We start from the raw sequence: 16,351 nt of genomic DNA, 5'->3' as shown, positions 1-16,351 counted from the left end.
TAGATTTAAAAAGTGTTTTCTGTTTTTTTCTATTTTTGTTTTTTATTTTCACTATTGTTTACTTCTTCCACATAAAAATTATTTTATGCAGCCTAGAGAAAATACCAATGATGTAACTTACCTTTCTGTTTAAAACAAAGCAGGCCCAGTATGTTGGCTCCTGCCTAAAATCCCAGCATTTTGGAAGGCCAAGGCGGGAGGATCACTTGAGCCCAGGGGTTCAAGACCAGCCTGGGCAAAAGGGGAGACCCTGTCTCTACAAATGATTAAAAAAATTAACTGGCATGGTGGCACATGCCTGTTGTCCTAGCTACTTAGGAGGCTAAGGTGGGAGGGTCGCTTGAGCCCAGAAGGTCAAAGCTGCAGTGAGTCGTAATGGAGCCACTGCATTCCAGCATAGGTGATATAGCAGGACCCTGTGTCAAAAATAAATAAATAACTCAGAGAGAAAGAAGACTGCAAAAGGAAGAACCCTCAAAGGGACAGTTTCCCAAATAGGCTTCTTTTTAATGATATAGAAGTAGAAGAAAAAAATAAAGCAATTAAATTGTCTCACTAATGATAGAGATTTCAAAATAATAATGTTATAGCTGTATTTCTACAGGTTTGACTAAAAACTAGCAAGAATCTATGTGAGAGAATATATCCTAGCAAAGTCATACATAACAAATCCTCCTCTCCCTACTTTGTGATGGTACATCTATCACGAACTAAATATGTATGCAGGGATCTACTGTTGTTTGAAATCCTTTTACATTTTGGCTCTAACACCATGCTCTTTATTATTGTGGCTTTATAATATATGTTCTAAATATAGGGTCATTTTCTCCTCTTTGTCTTTTTTTTCAAAATCTAGTTACCTTCTTGTGTCTGATTTTTGTTTGATATGAATTTTAAAAATATACTTGTCAAGTGCCTCAAAAACTTTGCCTGGAATTTTGAATATTAGAACTCCATTGACTTCTATGATGAATTTAGGAGAGTTTAAAGTACTTTGCTATGTTATATCACTTATGCATGAAAATGCTGGAATTCTCATCTTTTTTAAAGAGAAGTATTCTTACTATGTTTCTCATGCTGGAGTGTGTTAACAGATGTGATCATAGCACATTAAAACTGCTAACTCCTGAACTGAGGTGATCCTCTTTTTTTTTTTTTAATTTAACTTCTGGGGTACATGTGCACAATGTGCAGCTTTGTTACATATGTATACATGTGCCGTGTTGGTGTGCTGCACTCACTAACTCGTCATTTACATTAGGTATATCTCCTAATGCTATCCCTCCCCCCACCCCACAACAGTCCCCAGTGTGTGATGGTCCCCTTCCTGCGTCCAAGTGTTCTCATTGTTCAATTCCCACCTATGAGTGAGAACATGCAGTGTTTGGTTTTTTGTCCTTGTGATAGTTTCCTGAGAATGATGGTTTCCAGCTTCATCCATGTCCCTACAAAGGACATGAACTCATCCTTTTTATGGCTGCATACTATTCCATGGTGTATAGGTGCCACATTTTCTTAATCCAGTCTATCATTGATGGACATTTGGGTTGGTTCTAAGTCTTTGCTATTGTGAATAGTGCCGCAATAAACATATGTATGCATGTGTCTTAAAGCAGCATGATTATAATCCTTTGGGTATATACCCAGTAATGGGATGGCTGGGTCAAATGGTATTTCTAGTTCTAGATCCTTGAGGAATCGCCACACTGTCTTCCACAATGGTTGAACTAGTTTACAGTCCTACCAACAGTGTAAAAGTGTTCCTATTTCTCCCCATCCTCTCCAACATCTGTTGTTTCCTAACTTTTTAATGATCGCCATTGTAACTGGTGTGAGATGGTATCTCATTGTGGTTTTGATTTGCATTTCTCTGATGGCCAGTGATGATGAGCATTATTTCACGTGTCTGTTGGCTGCATAAATGTCTTCTTTTCAGAAGTGTCTGTTCATATCCTTTGCCCACTTTTTGATGGGGTTGTTTGTTTTTCTCTTGTAAATTTGTTTGAGTTCTTTGTAAATTCTGGATATTAGCCTTTTGTCAGATGAGTAGATTGTGAAAATTTTCTCCCATTCTGTAGGTTGCCTGTTCACTCTGATGGTAGTTTCTTTTGCTGTGCAGAAGCTCTTTAGGTTAATTGGATCCCATTTGTCAGTTTTGGCTTTTGTTGCCATTTCTTTTGGTGTTTTAGACATGAAGTCCTTGCCCATGCCTATGTCCTGAATGGTATTGCCTAAGTTTTCTTCTAGGGTTTTTATGGTTTTAGGTCTAACATTGAAGTCTTTAATCCATCTTGAATTAATTTTTCTATAAGGTGTAAGGAAGGGATCCAGTTTCAGCTTTCTACATGTGGCTAGCCAGTTTTCCCAGCACCATTCATTAAATAGGGAATCCTTTCCCCATTGCTTGTTTTTGTCAGGTTTGTCAAAGATCAGATAGTTGTAGATGTGTGATATTATTTGTGAGGGCTCTGTTCTGTTCCATTGGTCTATATCTCTGTTTTGGTACCAGTACCATGCTGTTTTGGTTACTGTAGCCTTGTAGTATAGTTTGAAGTCAGATAGCCTGATGCCTCCAGCTTTGTTCTTTTGGCTTAGGATTGTCTTGGCAATGCAAGCTCTTTTTTGGTTCCATATGAACTTTAATGTAGTTTTTTCCAATTCTGTGAAGAAAGTCATTGGTAGCTTGATGGGGATGGCATTGAATCTATAAATTACCTTGGGCAGTATGGCCATTTTCACGATATTGATTATTCCTATCCATGAGCATGGAATGTTCTTCCATTTGTTTGTGTCGTCTTTTATTTCATTGAGCAGTGGTTTGTAGTTCTCCTTGAAGAGGTCCTTCACATCCCTTGTAAGTTGGATTCCTAGGTATTTTATTCTCTTTGAAGCAATTGTGAATGGGAGTTCACTCGTGATTTGGCTCTCTGTTTGTCTGTTACTGGTGTATAAGAATGCTTGTGATTTTTGTACATTGATTTTGTATCCTGAGACTTTGCTGAAGTTGCTTATCAGCTTAAGGAGATTTTGGGCTGAGACGATGGGGTTTTCTAAATATACAATCCTGTCTGCAAACAGGGACAATTTGACTTCCTCTTTTCCTAATTGAATACCCTTTATTTCCTTCTCCTGCCTGATTGCCCTGGCCAGAACTTCCAACACTATGTTGAATAGGAGTGGTGAGAGAGGGCATCCCTGTCTTGTGCCAGTTTTCAAAGGGAATGCTTTCAGTTTTTGCCCATTCAGTATGATATTGGGTGTGGGTTTGTCATAAATAGCTCTTATTATTTTGAGATACGTCCCATCAATACCTAATGTATTGAGAGTTTTTAGCATGAAGCGTTGTTGAATTTTGTCAAAGGCCTTTTCTGCATGTATTGAGATAATCATGTCGTTTTTGTCTTTGGTTCTGTTCATATGCTGGATTACATTTATTGATTTGTGTATATTGAACCAGCCTTGCATCCCAGGGATGAAGCCAACTTGATCATGGTGGCTAAGCTTTTTGATGTGCTGCTGGATTCGGTTTGCCAGTATTTTATTGAGGATATTTGCGTGAATGTTCATCAGGGATATTGGTCTAAAATTCTCTTTTTTTGTTATGTGTCTGCCAGGGACATAACAGGGAGAGTTAGGGAGGATTCCCTCTTTTTCTGTTGATTGGAATAGTTTCAGAAGGAATGGTACCAGCTCCTCCTTGTACCTCTGGTAGAATTCGACTGTGAATCCATCTGGTCCTGGACTTTTTTTGGTTGGTAGGCTATTAAGTATTGTCTCAATTTCAGAGCCTGTTATTGGTCTATTCAGGGATTCAGCTTCTTCCTGGTTTAGTCTTGGGAGGGTGTATGTGTCCAGGAATGTATCCATTTCTTCCAGATTTTCTAGTTTATTTGCGTAGAGGTGTTTATAGTATTCTCTGATGGTAGTTTGTATTTCTGTGGGATCGGTGGTGATATCCCCTTTATCCTTTTTTATTGCGTCTATTTGATTCTTCTCTCTTTTCTTCTTTATTAGTCTTGCTAGTGGTCTATCAGTTTTGTTGATCTTTTCAAAAAACGAGCTCCTAGATTCATTGATTTTTTGAAGAGTTTTTTGTGTCTCTATCTCCTTCAGTTCTGCTCTGATCTTAGTTATTTCTTGCCTTCTGCTAGCTTTAGAATGTGTTTGCTCTTCCTTCTCTAGTTCTTTCGATTGTGATGTTAGGTTGTCAATTTTAGATCTTTCCTGCTTTCTCTTGTGGGCATTTAGTGCTATACATTTCCCTCTACACACTGCTTTCAGTGTGTCCCAAAGATTCAGGTTTGTGCCTTTGTTCTCATTGGTTTCAAAGAACATCTTTATTACTGCCTTCATTTCGTTATGTACCCATTAGTCATTCAGGAGCAGGTTGTTTAGTTTCCGTGTAGTTGAGCAGTTTTGAGTGAGTTTCTTAATCCTGAGTTCTAGTTTGATTGCACTGTGGTCTGAGAGACAGTTTGTTATAATTTCTGTTCTTTTACATTTGCTGAGGAGTGCTTTACTTCCAACTATGTGGTCAATTTTGGAATAAGTGTGATGTGGTGCTGAGAAGAATGTATATTCTGTTGATTTGGGGTGGAGAGTTCTGTAGATGTCTGTTCATTCCGCTTGGTGCAGAGCTGAGTTCAATTCCTGGATATCCTTTTTAACTTTCTGTCTCATCGATCTGTCTAATGTTGACAGTGGGGTGTCAGAGTCTCCCATTATTATTGTGTGGGAGTCTAACTCTCTTTATAGGTCTTTTAGGACTTTCTTTATGAATCTGGGTGCTCCTGTATTGGGTGCATATATATTTAGGATAGTTAGCTCTTCTTGTTGACTTGATCCCTTTGCCATTATGTAATGGCCTTCTTTGTCTCTTTCTGTCTTTGTTGGTTTAAAGTCTGTTTTATCAGAGACTAGGATTGCAACCCCTGCCTTTTTTTGTTTTCCATTTGCTTGGTAGATCTTCCTCCATCCCTTTATTTTGCGCCTATGTGTGTCTCTGCATGTGAGATGGGTCTCCTGAATACAGCACACTGATGGGTCTTGACTCTTTATCCAATTTGCCAGTCTGTGTCTTTTAATTGGAGCATTTAGCCCATTTACATTTAAGGTTAATATTGTTATGTTTGAATTTGATCCTGTCGTTACGTTATGATGTTAGCTGGTTATTTTGCTCATTAGTTGATGCGGTTTCTTTCTAGCATCCATGGTCTTTACAATTTGGCATGTTTTTGCAGTGGCTGGTACTGGTTGTTCCTTTCCATGTTTAGTGCTTCCTTCAGGAGCTCTTGTAGGGCAGGCTTGGTGGTGACAAAATCTCTTAGCATTTGTTTGTCTCTAAAGGATTTTATTTCTCCTTCACTCATGAAGCTTAGTTTGGCTGCATATGAAATTCTGGGTTGAAAATTCTTTTCTTGAAGAATGTTGGATGTTGGCTTCCACTCTCTTCTGGCTTGTTCAGTTTCTGCTGAGAAATCCACTGTTAGTCTGATGGGCTTCCCTTTGTGGGTAACCCGACCTTTCTCTCTGGCTGCCCTTAACATTTTTTCCTTCATTTCAACTTTGGTGAATCTGACAATTATGTGTCTTGGAGTTGCTCTTCTCGAGGAGTATCTTTGTGGCGTTCTCTGTATTTCCTGAATCTGAACGTTGGCCTGCCTTGCTAGATTGGGGAAGTTCTCCTGGATAATATCCTGCAGAGTGTTTTCCAACTTGTTTCCATTCTTCCTGTCACTTTCAGGTACACCAATCCGACGTAGATTTGGTCTTTTTACGTAGTCCCATATTTCTTGGAGGCTTTGTTCGTTTCTTTTTACTCTTTTTTCTCTTAACTTCTCTTCTCACTTCATTTCATTCATTTGATCTTCAGTCACTGATACCCTTTCTTCCAGTTGATCGAATTGGCTACTGAAGCTTGTGCATTCGTCACGTAGTTCTCCTGCCATGGTTTTCAGCTCCATCAGGTCATTTAAGGACTTCTCTACGCTGGTTATTCTAGTTAGCCATTCATCTAGTCTTTTTTCAAGGTTTTTAGCTTCTTTGCGATGGGCTCCAACTTCCTCCTTTAGCTGAGAGAAGTTTGATCGTCTGTAGCCTTCTTCTGTCAGCTCGTGAAAGTCATTCTCCGTCCAGCTTTGTTCTGTTGCTGGTGAGGAGCTCTGTTTCTTTGGAGGGGGAGAGGCGATCTGATTTTTAGAATTTTCAGCTTTTCTGCTCAGTTTTTCCCCATCTTTGTGGTTTTATCTACCTTTGGTCTTTGATGATGGTGACGTACAGATGGGGTTTTGGTGTGGATGTCCTTTCTGTTTGTTAGTTTTCCCTCTATTTTCTTAGCCTCACAAGTAGCTGGGATGGCAGGCATGCACTGCCATGCTCAGCTGGATTTCTTTTTAAAAATACCATTAGGTCTTATAGGGTTTAATTTTTTCGTAGAGGTTATGCATTAGTTAGTAGGTTAATTCTGAAATGCCTTATGCTGTTTTTGTTAGAATAGTATTTAGTATTTTCTGCTTGGTTATTGCTGAGGAAGAGAACCTTCAATTTTTGTGTTGGTCTAATATGTGGACCCTATTTGAGCTCTTATTCTGAGTCCTAGAATGCATTCTAATACTTTGTTGATTTTGTTGGTTTTAGTATGTATATTATTATATAACCTGCAAACAATTTCAGTTTTGTCTCTTCCTTTTCCCTTTTTTTTTTTTTTTTTTTTTTTTTTTTGAGGCAAGAGTCTTGCTCTGTCCCACAGACTAGAAGGCGGCCAGGCACAGTGACTCACACCTATAATCCCAGCATTTTGGGAGGATGTAGCAGCTGGATTATCTGAGATCAGGAGTTAGAGAACAGTCTGCCTAACATGACGAAACCCCGTTTCTACTAAAAATACAAAAAATTAGCTGAGCGTGGTGTTGGGCACCTGTAATCTCAGCTACTCAGGAGGCTGAGGCAGGAGAATCAGTTGAACCCGGGAGGCAGAGGTTGCAGTGAGCCAAGATCATGGTGTTGTACTCCAGCCTAGTTGACAGAGCAAGACTCTGTCTCAAAAAAAAAAAAAAAGCTGTAGAAGAATTGTGAGCATTTTATTTTCTTCTCGTTGAATCTGTATTTTCTGAATTTTACATTATTGTCTTTTATACTTAAAGGGGAAACATTACTTTCAAAGTAAGATAAAAGATGAGACAACAATTATTAAGTCTTGAGCTTTATAATGAACTTTAGCAAGTTTAAATAAAAGTAGAAAGGAAAATAAACATTTGCTTTAGATCAGATGTTACTTTCTGTATTTTTCAGTGGAAGTGAAGAAGCTCTTTCCAATGAAGACTGTGAAAATGTTTACCACTTGGTGTACTCGGCACATCGCCCTGTTGCTGTGGCAGCTGGAGAGTTCCTTCACAAAAAGTGAGCTAATTATCTTTGAAAACCGGTTCTACTTTTCTATGTTGTTTTCTTGTTGTTTTAGAGTTTGTAGAAGAGAGTAATAGTGACTGAACACAGTGCTGAAAATGTCCATCTGATACTCCAGGGGCTATAACAGCCTCACAGCCTATGTATACATGGTGAATCACAGCCTTGAGGATGCTGTACCTTGTGACATACTCCTTTTTTCTGAAATCTGAGAGGATGATTCTCAGCTAGATGTGAGTGGAGATTGGAGGAATGCATGAAATTTATAAAAGCTAACGTAATTGATAATTCATCACACTAGTTTTTTCTTTAAAATTCTGAGGTCTGATCTTACTTTCTTAACATTTGTAATCTAAATTTGAAGCAGTATCACCTTTAAAATGCCTTCCAAATTTTCATTTTTTTTCATTCTTTCCATTATGATGATTTTTTTGTTTTTTTGTTTTTTTTTGAGACGGAGTTTCGCTCTTGTTGCCCAGACTACAGTACAATGGTGCAGTCTCGACTCACCACAACTTCTGCCTCCCAGGTTCAAGCGATTATCCTACCTCAGCTTCCCAAGTAGCTGGGATTACAGGCATGCGCCACCCTGCCCGGCTAATTTTGTGTTTTTATTAGAGACAGGGTTTCTCCATGTTGGTCAGGCCGGTGTCGAACTCCCGACCTCAGGTAATCCGCCCGCCTCAGCCTCCCAAACTGCTGGGATTACAGGCATGAGCCACCACACCTGGCCATGATCAGGATTATTTTAATCAGTAATTCATAGTAATTCTGAAAGTTTTATATATATATAGTTGCAGTTTAATTTTTTTTAAACCTTATTTTTTTGTAAAGCATAACGTTAATGAGAGTGTATGCATGTAAACATTTAGGATGTACATGTTTTAGCGTGATTTACTGTATATGTTCTATAATTGATTAGTAGATTAACTCATTCTTTAAATCATTTTAAAATATATATTATATGTAAGTATATATGTATATATAAGTATATATGTATGTATGTATATATAAATATATATTTATATATGTATGTATATATGTATATATGAATATATGTGTATATATGTATGTATATGTATATGTGTGTGTGTGTGTGTGTGTATACACACACACACACACACACACACACACACACATATACACATTTTTTTTTTTTTAGAGAGATGGGGTCTTGCTGTCTTGCCCAGGCTGGTCTTGAACTCCTGGCCTGAAGTGATCCTCCCACCTCAGCCTCCCATAGTGTTGGGATTACAGGCATGAGCCACTGTACCCAGTTGATTAATTCATATTTAAAATATAAACATATTCTTGGTTATAGGTGTGTATCTTTTTGCTTTGTTTTGTGTTTTGGATTTTTGTTCATGGATTTAAATTACTAGCTTTGAATAATATTCACAAGTGATTTTAAAAGTTTATTATGTATTCTAACTTCTTCTTATGCTGAAGTACAACTATAAATCATGGACTAGGCAACTGTTGTGCATCATTGACTAACTTTGATAATGAGCAGGCCTGGTCCTCTCTCCAGTATCTGCATTCAGTGCTACAATAACAAATTGTTCTCTACTCACTTGTACCTCTCAAAGTGAGAAAAGTTATTTCTATGTAAGAAATCTCTGTTAAGAAAGAAACCAGCTACTTACTGGGCATGCTGGCAAAGGAAATGAAGAGGAAGAAAGTCAAGGTTTTCAGGCATGACTTAAAATAATATTGCATTTCCTAGTGACTCTGACAGCTCTGGCTAGTAGAATAATGCTGATTTTATATTTATCTTTGGATGTTGTCTGTCACTGATACCAAGAATGTACTGTAGTCTTTCTTTTTTCAGCATTATTTTATTCTAATTAGTCTCTATTCTCTACTTTTCAAAGAACTTCGTGTTTTTAGAAATAATTTGTTGCTTCTGTAGTTTCAGAGAGAAAAATAAACTTATGAGATTGGTTCTCTGTATAATAGAAGCCATAAACTGGTAACTCTTGAGTTAGAAAAAGTCTTAGAATATACTTATTTTATGTCTGTATTATATTTTTCTATGTTTGAAATATTGGCTAAATTTTTTATACTTTTAAAAATTGATAAATGCATATTTATAGGGTACATGTGATATTTTGATGCATGCACCTAATGTGTAATGGTGAAATTAGGTAAATGGGATATCCATCACCTCAAATATGTATTATTTCTTTGTGTTGGGAACTTTCCAAATCTTCTATTAATAAATATTTTGAAATATTCCATAAATTATTGTTAACTATAGTCACCCTACTGTGGTATCAAACACTAAAACTTATTTCTTCTAACTGTATTTTTGAACCCATTAACCAACCTCTCTTTATTCCACCCTCTGGTAGCGATCATTCTACTGCCCCTCCAGGAGATCAATCTTTTTTTTAGCTCCCACATTAAAGTGAGAACATGAGATATTTGTCCTTCTGTGCTTGGCTTAATTCACTTAACATAATGTCATCTAGTTCCATCTGTGTCACTGCAAATGACAGGATTTCCTTTTTATGGCTAAATAGTATTCCATTGTGTATATATACCACATTTGTTTATCCATTCAAACGCTGGTGAACACTTAGGTTGATTCCATGTATCACTACTATGAATAGTGCTGTAGTAAACATGGCAGTGCAGATATCTCTTTGATATGCTGATTTTTTTCTTGTAGATATATACTTAGCAGTGGAGTTGCTTGATCATATGGTAGATATTTTTAGTTTTTTGAGTAACTTCCATACTGTTTTCCACTGTTGCTGTACTAATTTACATTCCCACCAACAGTGTACTAGCATTCACCTTTCTCTGCATCCTGGCCAGCATGTTATTTTTTTGTCTTTATGATAATAGCTATTGAAAATGAGGTAAGATGATATCTCATTGTGATTTCTTATTTGCACTTTCTTTATAATAAATAATGAGAGCACTTTTTGTATACCAGTTGGCCACTGGTATGTCTTCCTTTGAGAAATGTCCGTTCAGATCATTTGCCCATTTGTAAATTGGATTGTTTTCGTTTTTGCTAAGGGGTTGTTTGAGTACCTTATATATTCTGGTTACTAATCCCTTGTCAGATGAATAGTTGGCCGATATTTTCACCCACTCTGCAGGTTGTCTCTTTATTGATCCCTTTGCTGTATAGAAACTTTTTTGCTTAATATAATCTCATTTGTCTGTTTTTCCTTTTATTGCCCATGCTATTGAGGTCTTGCCCCAAAACTCTACCCAGACTAATATTCTTAAGAATCCCCAGTGTTTTCTTTCTCTTTTTTTTTTTTTTTCAAGACGGAGTCTTGCTAGTTAATGGAAATGGGATTGACTTCTTGACTTCTTTTTCAGATTGTTCACTTTTGCTGTACAAGAATGCTACTGATTTTTATGTTGATTTTGTATTCTGCTACTTTTCAGAATTTATTAGTTCTCACAACAATTTTTTGGGCGGAGTCTGTTTTTCTAAATATAAGATTATGCCATCCACAAACAAAGATGATTTGACTTCTTTCCAATTTGGATGTCTTTTATTTCATTCTCTTGCCTAACTGCTCTGACTAGGACTTTTAGTACTATGTTGTATAAAAGTGGTGAAAGTTGGCATCCTGGTCTTGAGTTCTTATGGGAAAGGCTTTCACCTTTTCCCCATTTAATGTAATTGTAGCTGTGGGTTTGTCATATGTGGACTTTATTATTTTGAGATGTGTTTCATCTTTGCTAGTTTGTTGAGAGTTTTTATCATGAAGGGGTGTTGATTTCTTTCAAATGCTTTTTCTCTGTTGAGAGGGTCATATGAGTTTTGTCTTTCAGTCTGTTGATGTGATGTATCACATTTACTGATAATGCATATGGTTAAACTATCTTTGTGTCCCTGATATAAATCCTGCTTGATTATGGTACAGTACCTTGTGGATATGTTGTTAAATTTGGTTTGGTAGTTATTGTTGAGAATTTTTACATGCATGTTTACTAGGGATATTGTCTAATAGTTTTTGTTGTTGTTTTGTTGTTGTTATTTTGTCTTTGTCTGGTTTTGGCATCAGGGTGATGCTGACCTTGTAGAATGAGCTTGGAGGTATTCCCTTATCTTCAATTTTCTGGAATAGTTTGAGTAGAATTGGTGTTAGTTCTTCTTTAAATGCTTGGTAGAATTCTGCAGTGAAGCCATCAGGTACCGGGCTTTTTTTTTTGGGGGGGGAGACTTTATTAGTGCTTCAGTATCATTAATTTTTATTACTGCTTCAATATCATTATTGGTCTCTTCAGGTTTTCTTTTTTGAGACGGAGTTTTGCTGTTGTTGTCCTGGCTGGAGTACAATGGCACAGTCTCGGCTTACTGCAACCTCCACCTCCTGGGTTCAAGCGATTCTACTGCCTCAGCCTCTCGAGTAGCTGGGATTACAGGCTCTTGCCACCATGCCCAGCTAATTTTTGTATTTTTAGTAGAGATGGGGTTTCACCATCTTGGCCAGGCTGGTCTCAAACTCCTGACCTCAGGTGATTCACCCACCTTGGCCTCCAAGAGTGCTGGGACTAAAGGCGTGAGCCACCGTGCCCGGCAGTTTTCTATTTCTTTATGGTTCATTTATGTTAGGTTGTATGTGTCCAAGAATTTATTCATTTCTTTTAGGTTTTACATTTTGTTGGTATACAGATGTGTATAATAGTTTTTACTGATCCTTTGTATTTCTCTTGTAACCATTGTAATGTCTCTTTTTCTGTCTCTGATTTTATTTGGATATTCTTTTTTTTAGTTCAGCTAAAGGTTTGTCCATTTTGTTTATTTTTTAAAAAACCAATTGTGGTTTCATTGGTCTTTTGTATTTAGTCTTAATTACATTTATTCTCTGATCTTTATTATTCCTTTCCTTCGGCTAATTTTGGTTTGTTTTTTGATGTTGTTGTTGTTGTTGTTTTTGTGTGGGTCTTCTAGTTCCTTGATACCTTTCATTATTGTTGTCTGTTTGAAGTTTTGCTAGTTTTTTGATATAGATACTTATTGGTATAAACTTTCCTTTAGAACTGCTTTAGCTGTACTGTACTTCATAGGTTTTAGTATGTTGTGTTTCTATTTTCTTTTCTCTCACGAAATTCTAAAATTTCTTCTTTGAACCATTTGTTGTTCAGGAGCGTGTTGTCTAATTTACATGAACTTGAACAATTTCCATTCCTTCTGTAATTGATTTTTAGTTTTATTGCATTATGGTTAAAAAAGATACTCAATATGCATTCAATATTTTAAAATCTATTGACTTCTTTTGTGACCTTGTAGCCTGTCCTGGAGAATATTTCATTTGCTACTAGAAAAATGAGTATTCTGCAACTGTTAGATGGAATGTTCTGTAAATGTATGTTAGGTCCATTTGGTCTAGAATGCAGTTTAACTCCAGTGTTTCTTTGGAAACATTGATTCTTTTTCCGTCTGGATAATCTTCCCATTGCTGAAAATTGCACGTTGAAGTCCCCTACTACTCCTATTACATTGCAGTTACTCTCTTTCCTTATGTCTTAAGTTTTTAAATATATTTGTGAGGTTCAATATTGAGTGTAGAGATATTTATAATTGTTATATCCTCTTGTCATATTGACCCTTTTACCATTGTAAAATGGTATTCTTTGTCTTTTTTTCTTTTCTTTTCTTTTCTTTTTTTTTTTTTTTTCTTTAAGACAGAGTCTCGCTCTGTCGCCAGGCTGGAGTGCAGTGGCGCCATCTTGGCTCACTGCAACCTCCACCTCCTGGGTTCAAGCAGTTCTCCTGCCTCAGCCTCCCGAGTAGCTGGGACTGCAGGCACGTGTCACCACGCCTGGCTAATTTTTGTGTTTCTAGTAGAGACAGGGTTTCACCATGTTGGCCAGGATGGTCTCCATCTCTTGACCTTGTGACCTGCCCACCTCAGCCTCCCAAAGTGCTGCGATTACAGGCTTGCACCACCGTGCCTGGCCTTCTTTGTCTTTTTTTAATCATTCTTGACTTAAAGTCTATTTTATTTGATAACAAATATATCCACTTCTGTTACATTTTTGGTTTCTAAGTGCATGGATTATCTTTTTCCATACCTTCACTTTCAGTCTGTGTGTGTCTTTATAGATGAAGTGAGTTTCTTACGGCATAATATAATTGGGTCATGTTTTTTTTTAATCGTTTCAGCCACTTTATATGTCTTTCAATTTGATAATTTAATCCATTTACCTTCAGGATTATTGTTGATGGGCATGTGTTTACTATTGCCATTTTGTTGCTTGTTTTCTGGTTGTTTTGTAGATCCCATTGATTTTTTTCTCTCTCTCACTGTCTTCCTTTTAGTTATCTAATAATATATTTTGATTCTGTGCTGTTTATTTCTGGTGTATCTATTATAGACATTGCTTTGTGATTACACTGAGGCTTGTAAAAAATATCTTGTAGTTAAAACAGGTTATTTTATGTAGGGCATGGTGGCTTACACCTGTAATCACAGCACTTTGGGAGGCCAAGGCAGGCAGATCTCTTGAGGTCAGGAGTTCAAGACCAGCCTGGCCAACATGATGAAAGCCTGTCTCTGCTAAAAATATAAAAATCAGCCAGGCGTGATGGCAGGTGCCTGTAATTCCAGCTACTTGGGAGGTTGAGGCAGGAGAATTGCTTGAACCTAGGAAGCAGAGGTTGCAGTGAGCTCAGATTGTGCCACTGCACTCCAGCCTAGGTGACAGAGCAAGACTCACTCTCAAAACAAAACAAACAAACAAACAAAACAGAAAAAAAACACAGAAAAAAATACAGTTTATTTTAAACTTATAATAACTTTGATTGTAAAGTATCATAAATAAACTTTACACTTTAACACTGCTCCCCTCCCATGTTTTGGCTTTTCTGTGTTTCAATTTACATTTTAAAAATTTTGCTTATCTCAGCAATTGTTGCAGTTTGTTTTGGGGTTTTTTTGTTTGTTTGTTTGTTTTTTGTTTTTGTAGAGACAAGAGTTTTGCCATGTTGCCCAGGCTGGTCTCAAACTCCTAAGCTCAAGCGATCCTCCCATCTCGGCCTCCCAAAGTTTGGAGATTACAGGCATGAATCACCATGCCTGGCCCCAGTTGTTATTTTTAATAGTTTTTTCTTGTAGTCTTCATGCTTAAGATATAAGTCATTTACTTGCTGCATTTTAAAGTACTCTGAATTTTTTTCAGTTTTCTTACTTTTACCAGTGAGTTTTATACCTTGAAGTTTTCTTGTCACACATTAGTGTTGGGGTGATCAGACCCAACAGCAGGCCGTGGGGGCTACGAAGTCCAGCAGAGTCAAAGGAATGAGAAAAGACAAGTTAAGAATGAGTGCATAAAGTGGGTCCAGGGGGCCAACGCTGGTATGGAGGCTGCGAAGGCCCCGAGCTCTGGGAGCCCACACTATTTATTGGTGATGAAAGAAAGAAGCAGGTGGTGAGGACGTTTGGATGTGGGGGTAAACAGGTGAGGACATGAGGACGTAGGGGTAGAAAGGTAGCGGTGCATCAAGCGTTATCTGTGACAGTTTACTATTTTCTTTGATGCATATAAAATATGCTCTGCTGCTTGAGATAATGGAGAACATGTTTACGAGCCTGGGAGAGCAACCAACAAGTCTGCGCACATTCCAGAGGCCACGAGGGGTTTTATGCTCTGAGCCTTGGATTCCATCCAAGCTACGAGGGGTTTTATGCCTGGGCTTATATTTGTGGTGCGGCAGGGCAGCCTTCCACCCTTTGGCACAGACTTTGCTGTTCCAAAGGCCATGAGGGGTTTTAGACCCTGGACCCCGGACATTTTCCAAGACTCTTTTATATTATGACAGACAAGCCAATCCTGCCTGAGCTTTTCTGCCAACACATTAGCATTCATTTCTTTCAAATTGAAGAACTCCTTTTGGCATTTTTTATAAGGCAGCTCTGGTGTTGATGAATTCCCTCAGCTTCTATTTGTCTGGGAAAGTCTTTATCTGTCTTTCATGTTTGAAGGATATTGTTAGGTACAGTATTCTTGGATAGCAGTTTTCTTTCTTCAAAACTTTGAATATAGCATCCCAGTCTATCCTGACCTTCAAGATTTCTGCTGATAAATCTACTGAAAGCCATATAGGAGCTCCATTGAATATGATATGATTCTTTTCTTTTGATGCTTTGAATATTTCTTCTTTGTCCTTGATTTTTGTTAATTTGATTATGATATGCCTTGGGAAATTCCTCTTTGGGTTGAATTTGTTTGATGACATCTGAGCTTTCTGTTCCTGGATGCTGTTGTCTTTCTCCAGATTTGGGGAATTTTCAGCCTTACTCTTTTAATATGCTTTCCAGGCCCTTTTTCTCTCTCGTCTCCTTTGGGAATGCTAATTTTGCAGAAGTTAGTTTGCTTGAACGTGTCCCATAATTCTCATAGGCTTTTTAAATTCTTTTTTTCTTTTTGCTCTTCTGACTAGGTAATTTCATAAGTTCTGCCTTCAGGCTTACTAATTCTTTCCTCTGTTTGGTCAAGTTTGCTGTTGAAGCTTTCTAGTGAGTTTTTCACTTCAGTTATATTCTTTATTTCTAGGATGTATATTTGATTTTTAAAAATTGTTTCTATTCATCATATTTCTCATTTTGTTTTTCAAATTTGATTTAGTTTTCTATTTGGATTTTTTGTGTGTATGTAATTCCTTAAAATTCTTTTTAAGAGGATTACCCTGAATTGCCTGTCAGACATTTCATAGATCTTCAGTTTTTCTGGATCTGTTGCTGGACCTCTGCTGGTTTTGTTTGGTAGTGTAATATTTCCCTGACTTAAGTTGATGCTTGTGTATTTGAAGAGATAGCTACCGCTTCCACTTTTTTGCAAGTTTTCTTTGGTAGTGTTAGACCTTTACTTCTTAGTTTCAGAACTTGAACCCTGGCCTCTTGTTTTTTTCTTGGTCTGGCAAGAACTTATAGTGGAATTTAAACAGTATTCCAGAACCAAGTCACTGCAC

The 16,351-nt window shown here is 37.3% G+C and overlaps 1 protein-coding gene across 8 annotated transcripts in view; it reads left to right on the top strand.

Annotated features, from left to right (window-relative positions):
* STAG1 (STAG1 cohesin complex component) overlaps positions 1–16,351 on the top strand; it is a 416,143-nt gene that overhangs the window by 280,100 nt on the left and 119,692 nt on the right. For 7 of the 8 annotated variants that reach the window (XR_001739978.2, NM_005862.3, XM_047447229.1 and 4 more), the window contains one exon: positions 7,291–7,398. Coding sequence is in view for 7 of the 8 variants with exons in the window: in NM_005862.3 (NP_005853.2) it covers positions 7,291–7,398 (108 nt within the window). In the remaining variant the exon portion in view is untranslated. Of the gene's footprint in view, positions 1–7,290; positions 7,399–7,454; positions 7,638–16,351 lie in introns of those variants that run through there. The other variant, XM_017005525.2, reaches the window with a different exon arrangement.

This window comes from Homo sapiens, chromosome 3 (assembly GCF_000001405.40).
Source record: "Homo sapiens chromosome 3, GRCh38.p14 Primary Assembly".
In the NCBI taxonomy this organism is placed as follows: Eukaryota; Metazoa; Chordata; class Mammalia; order Primates; family Hominidae; genus Homo; species Homo sapiens.
Note: the sequence above shows the minus strand (reverse complement) of the source record. Positions and strands in the feature narration are given on the sequence as shown.